Source organism: Homo sapiens, chromosome 11 (assembly GCF_000001405.40).
Source record: "Homo sapiens chromosome 11, GRCh38.p14 Primary Assembly".
Taxonomy (NCBI): domain Eukaryota; kingdom Metazoa; phylum Chordata; class Mammalia; order Primates; family Hominidae; genus Homo; species Homo sapiens.
In genome coordinates, this window is record NC_000011.10 from 6,017,477 (window position 1) to 6,042,627 (window position 25,151).

The 25,151-nt window shown below is 37.9% G+C and overlaps 2 protein-coding genes and 1 long non-coding RNA gene across 5 annotated transcripts in view; 2 read left to right on the forward strand and 1 right to left on the reverse strand.

Annotated features, from left to right (window-relative positions):
• The window catches only part of OR56A3 (olfactory receptor family 56 subfamily A member 3), a 79,760-nt gene extending 75,226 nt beyond the window's left edge, over positions 1-4,534 (forward strand). Inside the window, exon 2 of one of the 2 annotated variants that reach the window (XR_007062481.1) lies at positions 4,448-4,534. The gene's annotated coding sequence lies outside the window, so the exon portion shown is untranslated. The remainder of the gene's footprint in view (positions 1-4,447) is intronic. The other variant, XM_047426926.1, reaches the window with a different exon arrangement.
• OR56A1 (olfactory receptor family 56 subfamily A member 1) lies at positions 1,860-16,862 on the reverse strand. 2 transcript variants are annotated; one of them, NM_001001917.5, is made up of 2 exons: positions 16,808-16,862; positions 1,860-10,250 (listed from the first exon to the last, which is right to left on the reverse strand). In NM_001001917.5, the coding sequence occupies exon 2, from the start codon at positions 10,214-10,216 to the stop codon at positions 9,272-9,274; it is 945 nt and encodes a 314-aa protein (NP_001001917.3). In that variant the 5' UTR covers positions 10,217-10,250; positions 16,808-16,862; the 3' UTR covers positions 1,860-9,271. The 2 variants fall into 2 exon arrangements, with proteins under 2 accessions (NP_001001917.3, NP_001375417.1); NM_001388488.1 differs by lacking the exon at positions 16,808-16,862 and adding an exon at positions 13,226-13,282.
• LOC107984303 (uncharacterized) lies at positions 4,524-20,914 on the forward strand. The gene is made up of 4 exons (XR_001748102.2): positions 4,524-4,612; positions 15,580-15,840; positions 16,931-17,021; positions 20,830-20,914. It is a non-coding gene; the product is annotated as an uncharacterized LOC107984303 (long non-coding RNA).
• The last annotated feature ends 4,237 nt before the right edge of the window (positions 20,915-25,151 follow it).

Below are 25,151 nucleotides of genomic sequence, written 5' to 3' on the forward strand. Positions count from 1 at the left end.
AGAAACCTTACAGGTCAGGAGAGAATAGAATGCTATGTTCAAAATGCTGAAAGAAAAATACTGCTAACCAAGAAACCACCCTCATAATTCAATCGCCTCTCACTAGGTCCCACCTCCAACACTGGAGATTACAATTCGACATGAGATTTGGGTGGGGACACAAATCCAAAAAAGGAGGAAAGGATATACAAAACAACTAGGAAACAGTTAACAAAATGGCAGGAATAAGTTCTCATCTGTCAGTAATAACTTTTAATGTAAACAAATTAAATTTCCACTTAAAAGATGTAGACTGGCTGATAAGATTTTTTAATCACCCAACTATGGGCTTCCTACAAGAAACTCACTTCACCTATACAATAAATATAGACTGAAAGTGGAGAGATAGAAAAAGATATTTCATGCAAATTGAAACCAAAGGTGGACGGGAGTAACTATACTTATGTCAGATTAAACAGATTTTAAGTCATAAATATTATAGTAAAAAGAGACAGAGAAGGTCATTATATGATGACAAAGGGATCAATTCAGCAAGCAAATATAACAATTATGTGTGTGTGTGTGTATATATATATATATATATATGCACTCAACACTGTAGCACCCAGATATATAAAGTAATTATTATTAGGTTGAAAGGGAGGGATACACACCAATACAATAATAGGCAGAGACGCCAACGCCCAACTCTCAGCATTAGGCAGATTATCTAGACAGAAAGTCAACAAAGAAAAATTGAGTTCAAATGCACTTTAGACTAAATTGAAATAACACAAAACATTTTATCCGACAGCTGTAGAATATACATTCATCTCATCAGCACAAAGAACATTGTCCAAAATAGAATATGTATTGGGCCACAAAACAAATCTCAACAAATTTTTTAAATCTTCTCAGATCACAGTAGAATAAAACTAAAACTTTGGAAACTGTACAAATAAATGGAAATTAAACAAGCTCCTAAATGATCATTGAGTTAATGAAGAAATTGAGAATAAAATTTTTAAAATTATTGAAACAAATAAAAATGAAAACACAATATACCAAAAACTATGGAATACAGCAAAAGCAGTGCTAGGAGAAAAGTTTATAGCAGTAAATGCCTATATCAAAAAAGTAGAAAGATTTCATGTAAACAACCTAATAATGCACCTCAAGAAATTAGAGTAGCAAAAACATGCAAAATCCAAAATTTGTAAAAGAAAACAATAAAAATCAGAATAGAACTTTAAAAAGCCTCAAAAAGACAAAAAATAAAGTGAAAATTTGATTTTTGGAAAAGATAAACAAAATTGATAAACCTCTAGCTAGACTAATCAAAAGAAAAAGAGAGAAGATGCAAATAAAATCAGAAACAAAAAAGAAGATATTACAACTGATACCATAGAAATACAAAATATTATCAGTGACTATTGGGAACTATATACTAACAAACTAGAAAACCTAGAGGAAATGGACAAATTCCTGGACATATACAACCTAATGAGATTGAACAAGGAAGAAATAGAAAACCTGAAAATACCACTAGTGAGTAATGAGATTGAATCAGTAATAAAAAGCCTGCCAACAAAAAAAAGCACAGGGACACAAAGTTTTACTGCCTTATACTACCAAATTTGTAAAGAAGAAATAACACCAATTCTTCTAAAACTACTCCAAAAAATTAAAGAGGAGGGAATTATTCCTAACTCATTCCTCAAGGCTACTACTACCTTGACACCAAAAACAACAACACGACAGAAAAAAAAAACTACAAGCCAATATTCTTGATGAACATAGATATAAAAATCCTCTGCAAAATACTAGCAAATCAAATCCACCAACCCATCAAAAAGATAATACATCATAACCAAGTGGGATTTATCCCAGGAATGCAAAAATGGTTCAACGCATGCAAATCAATAAATGTGATACATCATGTATTAGTCCGTTTTCTCATGCTGCTGATAAAGACTTATCTGAAACTGGGCAATTTACAAAAGAAATAGGTTTAATTGGACTTACAGTTCCACATGGCTGGGGAAGCCTCACAATCATGGCAGAAGACAAGAAGGAGCAACTTACATCTTGCATGGGTGGTGGGAGGAAAAGAGAGGAGCTTGTGCAGGGAAACTCTAGTTTTTTTAAACCATCAGATCTTATGAGATTCATTCACTATCATGAGAATTATGGGTGCAGGAAAGACCCACCCCCATAATTAAATTGCCTCCCAATTGTCTTTCCAATTTAAAAAGACAATATGTCAGGCAACAGCATAACTAAGATACTAAACCTGACTTCTAAACTTAAAATTCAAGTTCTCATTAAGCCAAAAGTGAATGTCAGAAGGCTTTTTCTCAAAAGCATTTAGGCACAGTATTCAATTCGTCAGTCACTCTGTGAATTCAAGTAAAAATGAGACCTTGATCCCTCTCTTGGCTCTATCCACAGGCAAACCAGCATTTACTTTTCCAGGGATAAGCATAGGTTTAAGGAAAGTCTCTCAACCTCTTTCTTAAATAGGACACAGTCTTAATTCTATTATAAGCATCCTGGTAAATGTAAGAGCTCTAGTGACTTTTTCAGAAAATGTATCAAGGTTTATTTTTTCCAAGAGTATTGACTCAGGTATCTCTCCTCCCCCACCACATACTAACAACGGCATCTCTTGACAGACCACAAGAATTCTGCATAAACTCAAAAGCTAAGCAGAAAATACATTGTTTCCAATCAAATACCAGGATCTTAACATAATCATAGCAGAATGTCAAGGCAGATTTCAAGTATATGTTTGAACAGTCCTAAACTAGGAACTGAATTTCTTTGGCTATTCAGGCTCTTTTTTGGTTTCATATGAATTTTAAAATAGTTTTTTCTAGTTCTGTAAAGAATGTCATTGGTAGTTTGACTGGAATAGCATTGAATCTGTAAATTGCTTTTGGGCAGTGTAGTGATTTTAATGGTACTGATTCTTCCTATCCATGAGCACGGGATGTCTGTCCATTAGTTTGTATCTCCTCTGATTTCTTTGAGCAGTGTTTGGTAATTCTCACTGTAGAGATCTTTCACCTCCCTGAGTAGCTGTATTCCTTGGTATTTTATTTTTTGTGTGGCAGCTGTGAATGGGATTGCCTTTCTAATTTGAATCTCAGTTTGGCTGTTGTTGTTATGTAGGAATGCTAGTGATTTTTGTACATTAATTTTGTATCCTGCAACTTTACTAACGTTTATCAGCTGGAGGAGGTTTTGGGCCTAGACTGTGGGGTTTTCTATATATAGAATCATGTCATCTGCAAACAGAGACAGTTTGACTTCATGTCTTCTTATTTGGATGGCCTTTATTTCTTTCTCTTGCCTGATTGCTCTGGCTAGGACTTCTAATACTATGTTGAACAGAAGTGGTGAGAGAAGGCATCTTTGCCTTGTGCCAGTTTTATAGGGGAATGCTTCCATCTTTTGCCCATTTTGGAGGTCAAAAGTTAAGAGAAAATTTTAGAATTTCTTTGAGTAAAGAAGACTCACAGAAATCCAGCCTGAGAAAAAGTTAGATGATGTGTATAGCAGTCCTTCTCAAGTCTGACAGCCTTAAAATAAACATCATTAAGTAGAAAAAGAGTGGCATGGAGAAAGGGAGAAGACAATATAGAAAAGAAAAGTAATGGAAATTATGCCTAAGAAAATCCTTTGAGTGTGATCACTAGCACATTGAACTGACCTGATACAGATAGATCAAAAACCTATTAGGCCTTCGAGGGGGTTTATTGCCAAAGAAACATGAACTTGACTTTTGAAGAAAGTTTTTGCTTTAGAATTTAAAAAATGTATTGATCCTACACAAATTACAATTAGAAAGGAGAAACAAGTACTAGTGTTTTACAGAACTAAAGGATGATAATAGTCAACAATATATTGTATATTTTCAAATAGCTAGAAGAAAGAATATTGAATATACCCAACACAAAGTAATGATAAATGTTTGAGATGATGGATATGCTAATTACCCTGATCTGCTCACTACACGTTGTATGTAACTTCATAAATATGTATAATTATTATGTATCAATTTTAAAATGAATAATTAAATAAAAAATTATTTAAAGTACTGATACTAATATTTTATAAGTAGAAAGTAGGTTCAAATGCAGTGTCACTCCAAAAGAAGTCACATTGTTCGATGCCTGCTTCATTTAGGATAATGGGAACATTAATAAAGGCACATTTAGGATAATGGGAACATTAATAAAGGCACAAACCCCCAAAGGCAGATGGCATTAAAAAAACAATAAAAAGCAATGATCAGGACATTGAAAACAATGATCAGGAGAGTTCCTCCTAGAGAACGCAAACAATGTCTAGTCAAGAAACTTGTCCCCCTCTCAGTAAGTAAAAATATTGCAATATCTGCTCCTAAAGCATTCTCGCATTACTATTAAGTTACTGCTAACTGAATTCTACACTTCATTTCCAGTTGGAAATCATCTGCTCCGCCATTAATAGAGAGACAGAATATCACTGGTGAAAGAGAAATCACAATGGGATCTGATGGAGAAGGCCACACACATCTGTAGGTCTTGGATTTTTTGCTGCATAGAGTAATCAGATGAGAGCTTGGGTGGTCTCCCTTGATAAGGAGGTAAGCCTATTGTCTATGTAGGAAAAAGAGAAATGAAAATTTATGATCAAGGCTCTTTTGCAAGCAGCTGGATCTATGTGAGGAGTCTGGCCGATGAAATGATAGAGAAAGTGATGTGTCTCCTAGTTTGGGGCCCTAAAGCTTACAAAATCCTGCATATTCTTTCTCTTTCTGGCTTGCCACCCAGATTCAGAAGCACCAGTGAAGGTCTCTAAGAGCCCAGAACATGGAGGATCCACATAATAAAAAAAGCATGGGTCCCTAAATGTTGATGTGGAGCAAAGCCCTCATGCATTGGAATGAGGTGTGGGTGAGAAGTAAATTTTATTGTGTTAGGCCACTGTGCTATCATTGTTACAGTAGCTAACTTTAATTGCATTGACTAATTCAATGCGTGTGGGTTTTTAGTGTACTCTGCCTTTGATATCTATAATCTGGAGTATGAAAAACTTAGGAAACTACAAAGCTATCCAGTGAAAGATTAAAAATATACCTCAATCCCTAGACTCTGAAGAAGCAAAAATGGGTTTATGTAGCAAAATGCCTTACTTCTCAATTTTAACTCTGGTCCCTATTGATTAAATGACTATGTATAATTTATCATTTTGCTCAGTTGCCTCATCTGCAAAAATGGGAATTATAATTCATGGGCTATTTTGACCATAATCTCTCTAAAACTTAGTTTTCCTGTATGTTCAGAGTGCTAATCACACGTAAAGAACTCAATAACTAATTTTTGGTTGAATAGGTGCAGAAATGTTGTTATTATATACAGTACTCAGCCAAATGCTGATAGTGTAATATGTTATGAAACACTAAGGATATTCACTATTCTTATGAATACCTGACTCATGTCAGTGATTTGGTATTGACTTTTAAATGTTGCTGAAGAAAAGAAAATCATGGTATAAATTGGTATGTCTCTTTTATTTGTTAAATTAATCACTCAAGTCCCTATGTGCCCTATGAGCAGGAAGTACAGGAGTTTTCTAAACGGACTTGTCACGTTCTCTTTCAAACACCTGAGACTGAGAACTGGCATTCAATACAGTACCGTTATTCCCACAAATAGCCACAAAGGGGCAATGTTGACTTGCCAACTATGAAGAGTTTGCTTAACTTCAGACGTTGCTGTTTAAGTTCTACAGTTGCAGTCTTGATGCTATAAACTTTCTCTGATGTCTCAGAACTCTCACTGCCTAGAATATACACCAAAGCATAATAAAGTATCAGGATGGCTAGGCACTAAAAAGCTTTCTGTGATAAATGGAAAGTGTAGTATTGTTCCCTCAACAATACTTAGGTGTTTGTTTTGAGCTTTGGCTACCAACATAGGGTCCCTTCTTTTTCCACCTTAATTCCAGAGGACTTGCTATTCTTTCTTTCCACTGGCCTTGATTTAAGTCAGCTATGGTATTGAATAGCAATGTGCAATGATATCAGATCTTCCTGCTCAAGAGGCTGTGTTCCTCACACAAATATGACTAACCTGCAAACCAGGGAGTGAGGGGAGTGACCTTTGGAAAGCTACTCCTGTCTCTCTTCTCATGTTCTGAATGCACCCTCTTCCAATGCAGTTGGAACATATTCAGGTTGTATCAGCAAAGCAAATCTTCATAGACTTCCTCAGTTTTGAAAAACTGACAAAACATTGGTACCCCATCCATTTAAAATGCCTTTAATTTATACTACTTCATTATATCCACTCAAGACAGTGCTTGAAAACCTTTACAGAGAGGACATGTTTTAACATTTTGCTATGGGAACTTCACAGCAGAGTTGGGTCTGCCCTTCATGGTCTGATTCTTTGGTTATCTTGCTCCTTTATCATCTGTATGAGGATTTACTTCAAAGCCTATCTAGGACCCTTGAGACCAGTTATTTTACCACTTGCAGTGAGCTTGACAATTTTGTGAGAAATCTGTGGTCCTCTAAACCTCTATACTTAGAACCAGAGCAGAGAGCCAACTTTTCAAGTATGTGGTTTATCCATTTGTTACGTTTAGGACTCTACTACTGGGGAACTAGAGATTAAAGATAGACATGATTTTTCAACTCTTCTTTTAGCCAATTCAATATCATAAGTAAGGAAATGTTTACTGAGCCCCTCAATATGTGAGAGCTGTGCTAGTTACTGTGAGGGGTGATCACTGTTGTCCCACTGCTGTCTTGGTCCCTCCATCCTTTACAAATCCCTACAACAAAGTTGGTAGTTTCTATCCCTATGTACACCCAGTTTGAGTCAAGCATCTCATAATTGTGTTGGCCATTTGCATTGATCTACAGAAGTCTGGTTCGGGAATTAAGATCTGAGTTTTGGCCAAATAACATAGACTCCTCTTTGAGTTCATTCTGGGCTTGCTTCCGGGTGAAATCATGGCAGATGCAGGGAAAGCACTCCTGGAAAGACGAATGGAGTTGACCAAATGCTTGAAAATATCACCTGATTACAGATGTATTATATTCCTATGAATTATATCCTATTAGATTCCTTTTTAAAAACTCACTTTTATGATCACGTATAGAAGGCTCTTATGAAAATTAAATATTATTATTCATAGACATTGGTATATTGCAAGTGCTCAAAACACATGAACTTGGATTTTCATTATAAGTATTATTTTAGAAAATCAGTGGTGAAGTTGGCCTTTATATCATCTAAGGGACAATAGGAAAACAGTGAGAGATAAAACTCTCTTAGCAACTGTGAAATGGAGAGAAGTTCTATTAGAGAATTCTGTGCTTAAAATATGACAAATACTGAGTTGAACCTGTGGCTCTGGCTTGAGACAATGAGAGCCAAGCCTGAAGGTACTAAGAGCCCCTTCCTGTAAGCCAATGGGTATAATTTTTCTTTCCTACTGTTGTTGAGTGACTGGAAGAAACTCTCCTCCTAGAGCCCACACCAGCATTGGGTTACAGTTACTTTATCTAATCCCCACAATGTGGGGCAGTTGATCTTACTCCTCTTACCAGCTTCATGTCAATTCCTTCATAGCTATGAATGCTGCCTCTAAACATGATGTCATGTTTCTCCACCCACCTGCACTAGGGGACTTGATTCTGACTCTAATTCCCTGGTAGGAACAGTGCACTGCAGGGTGATGTTATAGGTGCTCCTCAGTAGTCACAAGCTTTCAGACCCACATAAGATTGGAGCTGCGCCAGTTACTAACACTTATCTCTCAGTCCCAAGCCTGCCGTCCATACTGTACTCTGTCATGCTGGCACTGGGAGTCAAACCCTTCTTTGCCAGCTGTCTCTCTCTGAGTTTCTACCTACAGAGAGCAACAGAAACATTAGAAGGTTGAAACATGGAGAGGGACACTTGCTCTTTCTGTCTGTTCCTGTCTTGTCAGTATTCCTTAGCAGCAACTCTTTATCTTGGAAGTGGAATTGATTCTAGTCTCCAGATTGGTTGGTTGGTTGATTGGTTTTGGTTTTTGTTTAACTCCCAGCCTTATTGAACTCTCTCAAAAATACCAGCACCATCAAGGTAGTGTCCCATCCTCAAAGGTTTTAGTCCCAGCTCTGAGGGCCACATCCTCTGAGGTCCTATGGCATAAGTACCAATTAGGGACAGCATCCTTCCTCAGATATCTGAGATCCAGTTCTATGGGCCACTTCCTAGCCTTTTAGGTTCTAATGACCCAACCTCTTTCCAAGTGGAGGTTTCTTCCCATAGATACTGTTTATCTGTTACTTGAACCTCCTTTTTTTCATCATTGTCTCCAATACCCACTTAAACAATTGTTTACATTAAATTATCTGTAAATAACCAGTGTAAGGTTTTTTTTCACCTAACTGGAACCATTATTATCCAGAAACCTGACACTATGACATATCTTTCCACATTCAACTACAGCACTTGGGCAGTCAACAGATCAAGTAAGACTTGATATTCAGTTCACTGAATGTGTAGCTTAAACATATAGGGAAAGTGGCCAACACAATGTCCTAGTCAGCTTTCCTGTTTCCTACTCTCTTAGGGTCCCCTCTACCTGTCTGCATCCATCCTCACTTTCAAGACTCTCTCTAAGGTGATGAGGCTGTATAGGATAGAATAGAAAGCTGACATTGCTTTATATTGTTATAAAGTTCTTTTCTTCTTGCCCAGCAGAAGTTTTGTCAAGCAAGACTCTGCCTTCTCTGAGAAGTCCCTTTGGTCTCAAAGAAGTAAGAATAGGCAGAAAATACCTGTCGACATCCAGAAAGACAAAATACAGGTCAAAGGAAAGCAAAGGCTGGTCTTGAGCTTCAATTGCAATTGATGAGGCATTTCAACTATGTAGAAAGAGCCTAGGTTTTATTGTTTTTGCTTCCCACATATGTGATCTTTGGTCATTTCCCTTCCTAAAAGCATCTCTTTTTCTACTATGTGAAATGAAAGTAACAATGCCTGCAGAGATGTGTTGAAGATTAAATTACTTAAATGTAACTGCCAAGGTTCAAAGCAGCCACTCAATAAATACGAGTTTCTTCCCCTTGCCTACCTCCACCTGAACTAGGCAAGGAAAGTAAAGGAAGGAATCTGGTTCAGTAATGAAGGGAGCCTCAGTGCATGCAATAAACACTCACTAACTGACATTTCTCTACTTCGCTGCCTAGGTAAAATCACTGAAGAGGAAGAACAGGAGGTATTAGAAATGCTTTACATATTCACCTCCCTCTCTGCAGTAACTTCTGAATTCCCTGTTTTATCTCTTTGGTCCGAACCCCATACACAATAGGGTTCAATGCAGGAGGAATAAGGTGATGAAGGACGTTCAGCAGGATCAGGATGTCCATGGGGACCTTCTTTCTGGCCACGTTTGTCAACACCACAACCAGCAGTATGGTGCTGAAGAAAAGAATGAGGATGAAGTGGGAGCCACATGTGCTCAGGGCCTTCACTGCCGCCCCCTCTGCTTTGAATCTAAGCACAGCTCTTAGAATGAAGGTGTAAGAGAGGAAGATGAGGAATAAATCTGAGCCCAGCAAGGTCCAACCAGCCACAAATTGGTAGATTCTGTTAAGGGTGAAATTATCACAGGAGAGCCTGGACACAGACAAGTTGGCACAGATGCAGTTCTCAATGACATTTTCCCCACAGTAATGGAGCAGGGAAGTGAGGATAGGAATGGGTGCAGTAAGAAGCGCATTCCGCACCACAATGAAGACACTAGCTTTGGCCACAAATTGATTAGTGATGATGGATGGGTACCGCAGTGGGTGGCAGATGGCCACATAACGGTCATAGGCCATGACCATAAACGTGCAGGACTCCATGGGGAGGAAACTGTTCATGATGAACATCTGGAGGAAGCAGGCAGGGAAGCTGATCGACCTAAGATCATACCAGAAGATGGCCAGGACCTTGGGGATGACGGTGAGGCAGAGCACGATGTCCAGCAGGGAGAGGAGGCTGAGCAGGTAGTACAGGGGCTGGTGCAGAGAGGCCTCCAGCTGGATGGTGATCAGGAGGGTGGTGTTAGCTCCCATGGCCAGGAGGAAGAGAAGGCTGAGGGGCAGGGAGAGCCAGTGCTGCCAACTCTGGAAGTTGGGGAAGCAGATGAGGAGGAATTCAGAGACTGGGACAGTGGAGCTGTTGCTGGGTGACGCCATAGGCTGAATCATGAGCTGAGTAGGCTTCTGATGACTATGTTTATGGGCAGATACAAGAGGTTATTTTTACAAATTGCTTTGAAAAGTATCCCTTTCACTTACTCTTTAGGAAGCCAATGATAGGTAGTTCACTTTTGCCAAGTAAGGCAAATTTCAGCCAATATTCTAAAGGTAGAATTGTGAGACTTGATAAATAATGGTGTGGTCTATGAAGAAAAATGAATGAATGAAAAACCTATGAAGTTTAAAAAAAAAAAGGGTAGTGACAGGCAGTAACCTCACTATATGTTAAAACATATTACAAACACGCAACAAATTAGGCCAGTATGTTACCAGTGTAAGAAAAGCAATGGTAGATGATAAGTTTTTTAATAAATCATTTTGGAGAAAAATAGCTTTAATTAGGTCTTTGCTTTCTACTATACACCAATATAATTTGAGATGGATATTTTTGTTACATCTCTTACCCAAACTCATGGTATACTAGAAGAAAATAGAATATAAATTTGATTAAGTCATCCCTTTGCTAAAACTTCAATCTATATGAATATAACTATTCATTTCCCACAACCTGAGCCTGAACATCCTAGTGCTCCTGGAATAAAACTGAAAAAAAAAAAAGGAAAGAAGAGGCTAGTTTTACTATAAATTTGTGATCATTAACCTTAAATGTGCCTTCAATAAATATTGCACCCTACAAATCTTCCCTAATCAACTTTCTCCTCTAGAAAAAATTATTTCCCAAATGTCTTCATTTTTTTCAAACCTGAAACTCTACTTCTTTCAGAAGGTGACATCAAATACCACGTCATGGAGAAAGTAGAAAGTAATCAGTAAAATTTTCCTCAACTTTTCAAAATAAAATCTACAAATCTAAAATCATAGTGAGATACATATTACCCTAGTCAGAATGGCTATTATCAAAAATACAAAAAATAACAGATATTTGCAAGGATGCCAACATGTATAAGGGAACTTTTATATGCAATTGGTGGGAATGTAAATTAGTACAGCCTCAAAGGAAAACAGTATGGAAATTCCTGAAAGAGATAAAAATAGAACTACCCTTACATCCAAAAGTCCTACTACTAGGTATCTACCTAAAAGAAAAGAAAACGATATATCAAAAAGATAATTGTACTGGTATGTTTATCACAGCACTATACACAATAGCAAAGATATGGAATCAACCCAAGAGTTCAACAACAGATGATAGGATAAAGAAAATATGGCATACACACAATGGAATACTACTCAGCTATTAAGAAGAATGAAATCATGTCTTTTGCAGCAACGTAGATAGAACTGGAGGCCATTATCTTAAATGAAACAAGCCAGACACAAAAAGACAAATATTGCATGTTCTCACTCATAAGTATGTGTTCAAAATGTGTACATATAGATGTAGAGAGTGAAATGATTGACAATGGAGACTCAGAAGGGTGAGGCGGGTGAGAGGGGGTGGATAATGAGAAATTACTTAATGAGAATAATGTACATCATTCAGGTGATGGATACCCTAAAAGCCCTGACTTAACTACTATACAATCTATGCATGGAACAAAATTGCACTTTGATCCTATAAATTTATATAAAATTTTGTAAGACTTATAAATAATGTGTATATACTCTCATCCTTTTCTTGTTTCCTTTCATTAAAATAAATAATCTGTCCATCTTCAAGAATTGATCCCATCTCTCCCAGCTTTGAATTCTGGCTCTTTCTCTAACTCTCCCCTTCCCTTCATGCACAAACCTCTCACAAGCATTTACACTCACTGTCTCCATTCCCTCACCTTACATCCATTCCACAACTCACTTCAATTTGGCTTCCATCTCCATTAGTTCCACAAAATAGCTCTCAGAAATCACCTACAGCTTCCCTATTGTTAAATCTTGTTGAAACAGTTGATCAAATCCTCTTCCTTGAAACACTCTCTTTGGCCTAATTCATATATCACAGACTTCTAGTTTACCTTGTACCTCCTGGTCACTCCCTCTCATTTTCTCGAACACATCCATCATCCACTACCTTGACGTCAGTTTAAAGCTTCAGTCCTACATTTTCTTCGCTTTTCTTCTTTCCTCTCTGATATTCTGTTTTCCCTTCTTCCACTTCTTTTATCTTGTCTATGTCATTAGACAATTACCATCTCTATTACTAAATTACTGAATTATGTTTCTTACTTAGACCTCTCCAGAAGCCTACTTTATGTATCAACCTGGGTTTCCCAAAGATATTCAAAGCTCACCAAGTCCAAAATTTAAAAACCTGGTCTTTTGCCAGCATCTCAGTGACTGGTGTAAATATTTGTCAGTTTTAGAAGCCAGCGCCCAGAAAATGTCTTGAACATTTATTCTACCCATTGAAAATGATACGAAGTACATGATGAAACCACTAAGACATGTCATTTTCCCTTTTAATTAGCCCTGGAATCCATCCACTTCTCCATATCCACTCTCACCATCCAAGTACTATTACCTCGAGTAAAAAGTAAATATTGCCTCCTAATGCAGTCTAGGTTTCTTTATAAACCATTCTCTACATTGAAATCAAGGAAATGTTTTTAAATATAAATATTACCAGTCATCTGATTAAAATATTTCAGTGGCTTCTCATTGCTAATATTATAAAAAGGAAATTTTTTACTTGAACTTCATGAGACCATAAGTTCATGAGGGAAGAAACCATGTGTGGTTTTTCTTTTATCATCACTATATAAACAGGGTATAGATAGATTGCTAGGTACACATAGTTAACTGACTACATTATGAAAGGAAGGAAGGAAGGAAAAGGAAGGAGGAAGGGAGGGAGGGGAGGAAGGAAAGCAGGCAATGCCATATATTATCTACCTCCTTCCTCATTTTCCAGTTCCATCTAACACCCCATCTCCCTTGCTCCCTGAGCTTCAGCCACACCGTCCTTTCAGATCTTCGAACGTTACATGAGCTTTCTGATCCCACTTCTCTTGGAAGGCTGTGCATCTTATGCTTCTACACAACACTTACTTTCTCCTCATCCTTTACATCTCAATTCAAATACTCTCTTCTCTGAGAGGTTTGTTCTAACCCCCTTTACACAAGATCAAGTCCTCCTATTTTATGTTTCTGTAGTACTTTGAACCATCCTCATCATCTGTAGTTATACATTTATATGATAAGTTGCTTACATACTCCTTCTTCCAATGCCCAATTAGACATTTCATGCCATGAAAATAACATCAATTAGCCCAGTGCTTGACATGAAATGGCTAAAAATATTTGTAGAGTGAGTTAATTAGACATATGAGCAGAATAATAGGAAGGCACAAAGGAAAATTTCTGAACTCAACCCTAGAGGAAAAGAGAAGCTTTCCTAAAGCTGCTAACAACTTAGCTGAGTTTTATTTCAATAGATGTGGAGGATTTACATGCATTAAATCTGTGTAGTGTATTGAAGATATAAAAAATGGATTATGTGAAAGCATGGAGATGAGTCTGAGAATAACTTTGGAAGGAAATTCTATGCAATATTTAATCTGACTGGAGCCAAAAGGATGAGGAGTTGAAAGAAAGAGCCAAAAATGGAGTTGATAAAAGAAAAAGCCAGATCTTAAGTACATTTTCTATGCTGAAGATTTTAGAACTAGTCATATGGATGAAAAGAAATGGAAAAAAATATTTCCATTAGAAGAGAGACATGACCAGATTTAGGGTACGTACAGAAAGATCACTCTGGACACATTATTATGCATGAACTTGGGTAAGGCAAGAGAGCAGAAATAGAAAGAATGGCGGCCGCAATAGCCAAGGTGAGAAGTGACGTGCAACTGAACAAAGGCTGAGGCACTGAGGATGGGAAGAAGGTGAATCTTCCAGAAGTCATATAGACAGAACTTATTGACAGATTTGTTTTAAAGGAGAAAATAGGTGAGAAGCCCAGAGTGACCCCCGGTTTACTAGCTTGAGTAAATAAGTTGCATCACCAAGATGTAAAATACAGCTAAATGAGTAAGATTAGTGTGTACTGGGATATGTCAAGAACGAGGTGTTTATAATCGCCACACATAGATTTGTTTTCGGCTGTTTCAAACTGAAGAGTTTGAGAAAATTAGAAGGATCGTAGTTTAGGACATAAATTCAGAAAGCATTAGAACATAGCCTGTAGAGTTGGAATAGCACAAGGCTAAGATTGGAACCCTAGAAAATAGTAACATTGAAGGGGTGGAAAAAGAAAAGGGAGACATAAATGGAAGGGCTAGAAAGGTATAAAGAAAATCTTAAGAATAAGATGCCCCAGAAAAAACCAAGGGGAAAATTTCAAGAAGGGTTTTACTAACTTGTTAGTCAAGTAGAAGTTCAATAACATAAGGACAGTGAATATTCATTAAATATTATAATAAGGGTGTGTCATTGGTAACCTGGCCAAGAGAGATTCATTTGACTGGTAGCAACAGAAACCAGAATGAAGGGAGCTGGAGAACTAGTAAGTGAGGAAGTGTAGATGGGGAAAGTTGACTGTGTAGCTAAAGTCCATTTCAAACTTATAATAGAAGAAAAAGCAAGGCGGAAATGAAAGATACTGTGGTATGTTTATATGTTCAGGGAAAGAGTAAATATTCAGAAGGAAAGTAAGATAATTGAGGTAGCTACTTCACTGAGGAAGCCACTTCTACTATTAATAAATTTTATCTGTAAACCTTAGCATGTTGTTTTTGTACCTCTCTATCTCCCTCCACTCTGCTGTGAAATAGAGGGCAGATAAAGGGTACTTTTCCATTTGTACATACTACATTCTCTAACACCCCATAGATTCTTAATAAAAGCCCACTGAAAAATATTTTGGCATTACTGGCCCTGGTGTTTAACATAGATAGAAAATTTTAAGGAGGAAGAATGAGAAAGGAGAATTAACCACAGTTTCAGTGGGCTGAGGGGCAGTTCTGATCAGTGTTGTAAAGGGTAGCCACAGGGGGGTTGTCTGGTGGACTAGAGGGAAGCGGGGCATGGCACAGAATACATGATGGAACTCAGGGATCTATTTATGCCACTGCTCACAGGTGCCCCCCAAGATTCACCCACTTACTTGATGAAAAAGCCCTGTGCTAGGTTTCTGACTTAATGGGTCTTCTCCTTTTCCTAATATAAACATAAAATGATCCACTTGCTCCTAATGTTGGTAAGAATTGTTTTGAATTTCATCCTGTCAAAATCATTACCAATTTATCCAAACAGAAATCTCATCTTCCTATGTGAGTCTTCCCTCTGTTTGAACCTCATCCCCCAACATTCTATTTTACCATCCCTGAGGTACATCCCCCTTAATGCTCTGTCCTTTTCTAGCATTGTTTGACATAATCTTCATATCTCTTCATGCTCCTCAGATGACATTTGTGGATCAATCCTCCTATCTGCTTCCAGTCATCACACATTAGCCTTTTACTCATGAAGAGTCAAAGCTCTACTGCCTGAATGAGCCCAGGACACTTGCCTCCACCCATCCAGTGTTATCACCTAGGCTCTAACTCTGTTAAAGTCCATTTCTTCACTACTGAACATTGGAAAATGGGTGTGGACGAGTGAGAAAGTCTGGAACAGGAGGAAAAGAAAAGGGAACAGATTCCTAGATGTTCCAGCAAGTGGAAGTACGTATATAAACATAAGTCAATAATGTGGTCCATAGAGTAAAAACTAATTTATTGTTTCTAAAACTGGATTGGCAATATTAACCAACATGAACCAAGTATCTAGTATGTACCAGACATTCTTCTGAGTATTTGATGTGTATTAATTTAATGTCAGAAGTACAATGCCAAGAGCAAAGTAGTTGAGAATCTTTCTCAATCCGGTTCCAATTAGTACATCTGGAGTGGACTATCCAATACAGGGCACTATGCATTAAAAAGTTTTTTGGCAAACTGAGACACAGTCATATAGTCACAGGATGATAAGAGGCATTGCTCTCTACTGAAGGAGGAGGGTCATTTTTACATTGTATGTGTGTGGCCTCCAGAAAACAAGAATATCAATGATAACATTAACATTTATGAATGGCTATTAGGGGAAAAGGGCAAAATAAGGACCACTAGAGAGAAATCACAGAAAAAATGATCTTGATTAAATATGAAGAATGTTCTAACAGTCTAAAGAAAGTTATATTTTTCTATTTTAAACTGCTCTTCTGAGACAGAATTCAGGGAAATATTGACCAGCTTCTTCATCAATACTTTCTTTGAACCCATGATCCAGGTGACCAGTGACATAATTGACCCAGCATGCCTGGCTCTGCTCTATCTCTATACCCTTTATCCCATTGTGGGATCTATAGACCTTCTGTTCCTGGTCAGGCAAGATGAAGCCCAATCTTTCACTTGCACTACATACCCTACCCAAGTAAGAAAATCAAACCCTCTTATCTGAAGGCAGAAGGAAGAAATACAATCTACGAGGCTGTTTACTGAAGTGTTCAGGATCAAAATGCATCGAGTTGCCACACTTCCCACCTCTCTGCCTATAAGGAAAGGATCCCTGCCTGCCTCGTATCCTCCTGGTCACTCTTCCTATCTAGGTCCAATATAGCCTAGGCTCCCCTCCCTTGGCCCTGGGACTTACAGAGGATGCAAAAGAACGAGCTCTTAGTGTTGTAACTGCTGCAGGGGTGGCCATGCTAGGATTTTGGTGAATAAATCATGAGGGTTTTATGAACTCTTTACCCTCTCTTACCCGTCTTCTTAGACACAGTTGGGAAAACATGGCTTGGGAAGCAGAGACTTGGAGGAGGAGGAACTGTGTCCCTGGGGAAACCCGTCTTATTGTGCTCCAACAGGTAGGAAGTGGGGGTGTGAGGGATGAAGTGGTTTGAAACTAAGATAATAAATTCTCTAGAACCCAGAATCCAGGAATCTGGTATGTAAGTCTGACACACAGACATGGATGAAAATACAGAAAAAGAGATTATAGAGCAACTCCTTTATAATAACTCCAATGTTTTGAGTGCTTTCTGAGTGACCTAAATTACTGAAGTTTTATGTACTTTTTTCTCATTCAATCATCTCCCTTAGATATGAAAAAGCAACTCTTCAGGTTAGAAACTATTATCCCCACTGTGTAGGGGAGAGACAGAGAAAGCCTTGCCCCAAATCACATAGCCAGCCACATTTAAACCTCCTCTACCTGATCTAATGTCTGTTTTCTAAATGACTCCTCTCTAGTCTCCACTTACACTGATGAATATGACTATACGTATTGCAATTCTAAACAAGATTTTAGAAAATCAAGTTCAGTAAACTATTAACTTTTCTAAACTAACAAATATATTTATCTCCTAAGGAATGTGAAAAGAGTTGAATACAGACAAATCTACCAACCTTGTTTATTATATTGAGGTTGTGGATAAGCATAGGAATAAAGTCATTCAATTTGAATGCAAATTTGAATCCCAGCTCTGAAATTATGTACTAAGCTCTTCAAACTTTGACATTATATACAATGGTGATAAGACAAGCATGGCTCCTGCCTTCAACAAGATTTTATTCTAATTATGTGATTTTTAAAAGAAAATAGGTATCTCTAAATGTATTTGCATAATTCCTAAGATATATTGTTCAGCAGAGATGCGAGAAGAACAAACAGAGCATAGAAAGCCACACAAAATTATGTTGTAATGCTGCACAAATGAACTCATAAGTGTATGTATCCATAGATACAAATACATCCAATACATGTAAATATTTTTATACTCTATATATAAAAATACATAAGTATGTGTGTATATAGTCTCATATTCTTATGTATAATCAAGTTGCTTCTGGAAGGAGACACAAGTAATTTGTAATAATTGGCCCTGGGAAGGACAAATGTGTGCTTGAAAGACAGAAATAGAATAGTATATTAGAGATTGCTAACTGCTTACTCAATATTCCCTATTATTCCTTAGTAACAAACATCATGATTTTATTGGGGTACCCACATATACTGCAAAAATATGACACTTCCCAGACTCCAGATGTTAATTGATGTCATGTGGTGGAGCCTCCAAGAAGACTCTTTGATGTGAACTAACTCAGCTGAGAAATGAAGATTATATGCCCCACCATCTTCTGAACATAACAAAGCAGAAATAGATAAACTGGGGCATTGATGTCTTTGTGATGATCTGATTTTGGCTCTAGATGTCCACCCCTGAACTTCCTTTACACGAAGGAGAAGAAAATTCTAATTTGTTTAAGCCACTGCTATTTGGGCTTTCTATTATGTGCAGTCAAAAATAATACTAACTGATACAGAGAATGAATTACTTTTAATAAATAACATTTTTAGCTTTTAAAATTTGAACCATGTGCATATATTATGTATTTCTAAATTAAGTTTTAGATTTTACTATTTTGATGATAGAAATAAAATATAAAACACATAAATTCAGAAACCTTTGGTAATTATACAAAAGGACATATATGAAATCCTGATGCGGTGATCATTTCAGGTCAAGTGAGTCAAAAAGGCCTTAGCACAGAGAGATATGGAAACAAGAGCAGAAGCAGGGCAATCAGGGAAAGGCTGTCATTTAATCCAGGCAAGAGATGGCCTGAAGCAGGTTGGTGGCAGAGGAAATGAAAGGGAGTAGACAAATTTGGGGAGAACAGTCAAGCAGATATACTGGTGAAGAAGAAACGAAGAAATTAATGTAGAAATCAAATATGATTCTTCCGATTCCATCTTGGGAAACTTGGTGGATATGGGCCCATTTACCTTAATGACATCACACAGTAAGATTTCTGAATAGTGTTGAATTTACATCTGAAGTTTGTGATGATATATTTAATGTGAAACCAATAACTTTATTAAGGGATTTTTTTCTGACAAGTTTCAAACTCTCACAGAGGAGACAGGTATTTGTATTCAAACAGAATTTGGGTGTTTTCAAATAATACAATGGAGGGAGCAAAAAAAAAAAGTTGGGCTATTTCTTCTCCAGGAGAGTCAGGCTATTTCCAGGAGAGTCAGTCATGAAATGGTGGGCCATACAATCTAAGCTAAGCAAGAAATAACTTCAAGACAAGAGAAGGATGAGTTGGTAGTCTTGACATTCAGCAATTGCAATTTTGCTAGGGATCCCTGAAAAATTGAGTCTGAAGTTAGAAAGTGTACAGTGTTTCAAATCTAAATTTTAGAGGGAACTACCCACAAAGATGAGATAAGTCAAAACTGGGAGTGTAAACAAGAAAGGTTAAGTTTTGGGTGCAGGCTGAACTAAGCGCACAAACATTTTCCAGTTTTATCAGCAATGGGACTCCCATTGCATTCTCATTTCATCCAATGACATTCTGATGAAAAATAAATGCATACCACAGAAATGAAAATTGACAAATGGGACCTAATTAAACTTAAGAGCTTCTGGAAAGCAAAACAAACTATAAACAGGGTAAACAGACAACCTACAGAATGGGAGAAAATATTTGCAAACTATGCATCAGACACAGGTCTAATATCCGGCATCTGTAAGGAACTTAAACAAATTAACAAGCATAAAACAAAAACTCCATTAAAAAGTAGGCAAAGGACATGAACAGACACTATTCAAAAGAAAATGTGGCCAAAAAGCATGTGAAAAAAATGCTCAATATCACCAGTAATTAAAGAAATGCAAATAAAAACCACAATGAGATACCATCTCACACCCATCAGAATGGCTATTATTAAAAAGTCAAAAAATAACAAATGCTGGTAAAGTTGTGGAGAAAAAATGGAATGCTTATACACTACCAGTGGGAATGTAAATTAGTTCAGCCACTGTGGAAAGCAGTCTGGCAAATCCTCAAGGAACTTAAAGCAGAATTACCACTTGATTCGGCAATCCCATTACTGGGTATAGAGCCAAAGGAATATATATATAGTTTCACCATAAAGACACATGCATTTGTATGTTCATTGCAGCACTATTCACAAGAGCAAAGATACGGAATCAACCTAGATGAGCATAAGTGGTAGACTGGATAAAGGAAATATGGTACATACACACCATGGAATACTACGCAGCCATAAAAAAACAAGTTCCCATCTTTTGTAGCAAGATGGAAGGAGCTGGAGGTCATTATCCTGAGCAAACTAATGCAGGAACAGAAAACCAAACACCACATGTTCTCACTTATAAGCGGGAGCTAATTTGAGTACACGTGGACACAAATAAGGGAACCACAGACTCCAGGGCCTACTTGACAGCGGAGGTTGGGACAAGGGTGAAGATCACTGAGCTACCTATTGGGTATAATGCTTATTATCTGGTTAACAAAATGATCTGTACACCAAGCCTCTGTGACATGTAATTTACCTATATAACAAACCTGCACATGTACTCCTGAAACTAGAAGTTGAAAAAAAAAAAAGAAAAAGAAAAGCATACAAATTAAGTAATTTATAATTATAGGAGGAACTACATACAGTACAATTACTTAATTTAAGGCAAATCTGAGGGGAGTTTGGAAGTGGTTTAAACTTCAGCAAATAATATGTTCAGAAACAATTTTAGATCTGTTTTAATGCTTAGCCTATAGTATATCCCACTGACTTTAGACAAATTATTTTGTTAGGTAATAATTTATTTAATGTCTTTGTTGTCTCATCCGATCCACCTATAGACATCAAAGCCTGGAAGATACCTGAACTAGAAAATGGGAAGAAAATTATTCTCCTGGTGGCTTTTGTAAATTCGTTTGTATTCGGTGTAATTGTCACCTGCTGCTTCGGTGGAACTCCCTGTCCCTTTCTGTTGGGCAGAAGGAATGGGCCCATCCGTAATAGATACGGAGAGGAAAACAAAGTGATGACAACTCAGTGGGCAAGCAGGGCAAGAGCTGTTTCTGCAGAGAGCTTAGTAGCACAGCCCTATTCACTTTTGCTGGGATGTATGCGTCTGGGACATAATGGGGCTGTGCAGAGATAGCACTGGAACAGACTGATAACCAAAACTGAAATTTCAAAAGGGAGGCTACAATCGAGCCAATAAAAAGTGAAAGGGCTGCTTTATAATTCCCAGTTCTCCCATTCTTATTTTTTTCTGTTTTCCACAGGTTCCAAGCTGAAGAGTTTTAAATGTGTCCATGAATTCATTCAGTTCTTGCATTTGTTTACTTATAAATACTGATGCATTGTTTACTTATAAATACTGATGCATTTCTCTCATCAATCCAATACTCATCCTTTGAACTACCACTCTGAACAATACAGCACAATCAATAATAATTTTTAATTTTTTCTCTGATTACAAAATAATATGTCAATATCCTAAAATGCAAATTATATAATATTGTATATCATTTAATATCCAACAAAATCCCACCAATCTTCACTTAAATACTTTAAACATTATTTTAAAATAATGGAGACTGACGATAAGACTCCAGTCTCCTCCACAGCTGGCTGTGTGAATTACTCATTTCCTATTGCCATTGGCATTCCCCCGTCTTGATAAATCTGCTCTGTCTAGGCAGCGGGCAATGTGAACCCACTGGGTGGTTACAAATTTGGGGGCTTGTCTGGGATAGTCCTTGTGACTACCTGCCCATGGTTCCATAGTCTCCCCTCTGGCAACAGATCTAGAGGCCAGCCCAAGCAGAGGCCAGCCCAAGCAGCCGCCTAGTTCTCCTGGACTAGAGGCTGACTCTGGTACCATCTCTGCCAGCAGGGCACTGCTGACCCAATGTGTATGGATTTAAATGCAGTGGAAAAATAGTCCTGGGGAGATTTCCCATAACTGTAGCCCTATCACAGGTTGTCTGACTGTAGCCCCATGGTGGGGTGTCTGTAGCCCCATTGCAGTGTGTCTGGGTTGGTGAGTATCCTAGGTGCTGCCAGTGCCTCCTTCCTTCTCCTGGTTCTGTAGCGCCATGGTGGCGTATCTGTCTGTAGCCCCATGGTGGGGTGTCTGTTTGTAGCTCCGCTACTGGGTGTCTGTCTCGGTTTGGCTCTTTCAGGGGTCTCGTTTTGTCTGTAGCCCCATTGCTGGATGTCTGTCTCAATTCAGAACCTGGGGGGTTTCGGTTGGCTCTCCCTAACTAGTAAAGTCTTGGTTTGGGAGACTTCTCCTTATTCAGGAAGGTTTTGGGGAGATTTCTTAAACAGAGAATAGCAGGATAGTTTGGAAGGGATACGCTTGGAGTTCTTGGTTAGGGATCTGATTTGGAAGGCCTTCTGTCCGTCTTGTCTTTGTATATGTGTATATATGTGGAGGGGACCTCAGAAGGACTTGCTGATGGAAGTTCAGCAGGCCTAACTCAGAAAACCCTCCTTATTGGTCTGGTCACATTTGTTGAGCCCTAAAGGAAGCTCAACAGGCCTGTCTCAGGGTGACTATTTGCTCTGTGCCTTGCCCAGAGACCACCCATTGTGAGTTACCATTCAGAGGTCATCCCTTCTCACTTGGAGTGGATCAAAGACAACAGGGACCAAAAGGAGAAAGTTTGAGCTTTGCCAGGCTGATATTGGGTGCTGAATGAGGTGGCTAGTATCTGTTTTGTTATGTGTATTTTGCTGGAATTGAAAATGTTAATTCATTTCCCCACGTAGCCCATTGGGCAACATCTTGCAAAATTGAGAATATTTTCTCCATGGCTTCATCAAACAGAATTTTCTTTTGTAAAGTGGCTTGACCCTCACAGCTATGGCACAGATAGCAGGGTCATCAAAAGCTGCTCCATTCTTCTGGAAGCTACAGAGAAAGGGAACCTGGAAACCTGGTATGCTGGCAAAAAGGGTAAGAAATTCTTACCAGCCAAGTTTCTCGTCTCATTCTCTCTCTCTCTCTCTCCCTCTGTGTGTGTGTGTGTGTGTCTCTCTCTCTATCTCTCTCTGACTCTCTCTCTCTATTCTCTCTCTCTGACTCTGTGTGTGTGTGTGTGTGTATAAATGGTAAACGTCACTATTTGTCTTCTCTGCAAGAGTTTGATTGATAGAAAAAAGGATTTGTGAGACTAGTCTTAGGCTGTAGCAAATCTGATGCACGTTGTGCTAAGAATTTTTCTTTCTGTAATGGAGACAGGGGTATCACAGGATAGAATGTGGGTTTGAGATCCGTATAACCCTGCTTTCAAGCCAGGCCAGCAGGCTAATCAGCTACAAACTTTGTTGCGTGTCCCTGAAACCAATACCAAATGAAATTTCGTCTTGTTTTGTGTCCTTAAGAGCTTAACCCTGGGACTGTGTGGGGATATTTTCTCTTGGTCTCCACCATCTAGAGGACAGAAACTTGGGGGTTCACATTATAGTTAGCCCTAAAAATTATCTTGAGCAGTTAAAAGCCTTTTCATGCTTGAAATTGGCTGCTCTAGGCTTCTGGAAAGAGCAATAGAAACTGCTCAATGCTGTGTAGCTCAGTAGCTGACGCTTTATCTTTTGACAATTGTGGCAAGGGTTCAATTCTTGGCTTCCGGAAGCATTCCTTCCTGGTTTGTTATTTGTGTAACTTTGCCATTTATTGAGGGTTTTTTCGCCCATGGATAGCCTCTGATTTCCTGTCTTGAATTTTCCTTTCCCTGAACTACCCTTGGGGAGATTCTAAATCTTGTAAAAATAGAAACTACTTACCGTCTCTTTGAGATATCTTATGCATCCATAGTTAAGTTAACCTTAGTTAAAACTTATTAATTAATTTCATGTGGGAAATTACCTATGGCAGAATTCAAAAGCCAGAAATATTGGCTGTTCTAGCTAGAGTCTGGTAATAAAAGATTTAAAAGAATTTCTTTTTAGAAAAAAATAGCTCTATGGCTAAAATCAGCTTAATTAAAAACAGATATCCAAGTTAAATGTATTTAAGAGAGCTTTATCTTTTTCCTCTTCTGGAATCATGTTCTTCTGAAAGTTTTTTTCTTTTCAGTAGACTGAATTGTTTTTCTCCATTTTGTCTTCTTCCCACTCTTGATGCCCACATGAGAGAACCTAAGATAAATTCTAACAGCCTGGGACTCCTGGGGAAAAGCAGAGGAGGCACCACAGAAAAACCTAGGAAAAACCTCTGTTTTCGTCACAGAAGCCCAAGAATGGAAAGAGAATAGATCCCTCTCAAAATCTAAGACACTGTTCTGTTTTGCATTGTATTACCTGACAGTTTTGACTTTTGGGGGTATCAAAAATTACTTTGTGTTATGGGAGAGCTTTTAGCCTTGGTGTGTAATAACTAGGTAGGAAATATACTTTAAGGGATGGCTAATGGCAGTTATGGAGAGATACTTGGCTCTTTACATGCCTGGATCAGAGAAGCTTGCCCTTGGCCACCTGGAAGATATGGAAACATACCCACCTCCTACTGAGAGGTGAGACTCTCAGGGGAATGGGCTGATTACACAATGGACTGATTGGCTTTGGGTTGCCTTGCAATGAAATGCATGGTGAAAACACTGCACAGTTTGAATTGTCATTATCCAGTTTTAGAGACAAGGTTACTCTAGCTTCATAAAATAAGTTGGTAAAAATTTTCCATCTTTTTCTATTATCTTGAAGAATGCATGCATGATAGAGATGATCTATTTCTTAAAATTTTAGAACTCACCTATAAACCCATAGTGTACTGAAGCTTTTGTTGGGAAAAGGTCTTTAATTAATATTTCAAATTTTTAATGGTTATTTATATATTTGAGTTTTATTATCTGAAGCTACTGGTGATTTTTAAATTTTTAGTTTTTCAAATTCATTGGCATAAAAGTTATTCAGAACATTATGCAGAATTTTGTTGTTTTCTTATATGTTTGACTCTGTTAGTTGTCTTTTCAACACCCATTTCCGTCTCACTATCATCCCCTCTCCATTTCTTCCTTGATAGAAGATATCTAATTTATTTCAGATATTTAGCCCTTCATGAAGTTCCCTCACATGCATATGCTAATCAGTACATTGCTGAACACTCAAGGGGGAATTTCTATAAATCTTTAGGATTCTCTTTCTATGGAGTTTTCTCTTCCTCAAT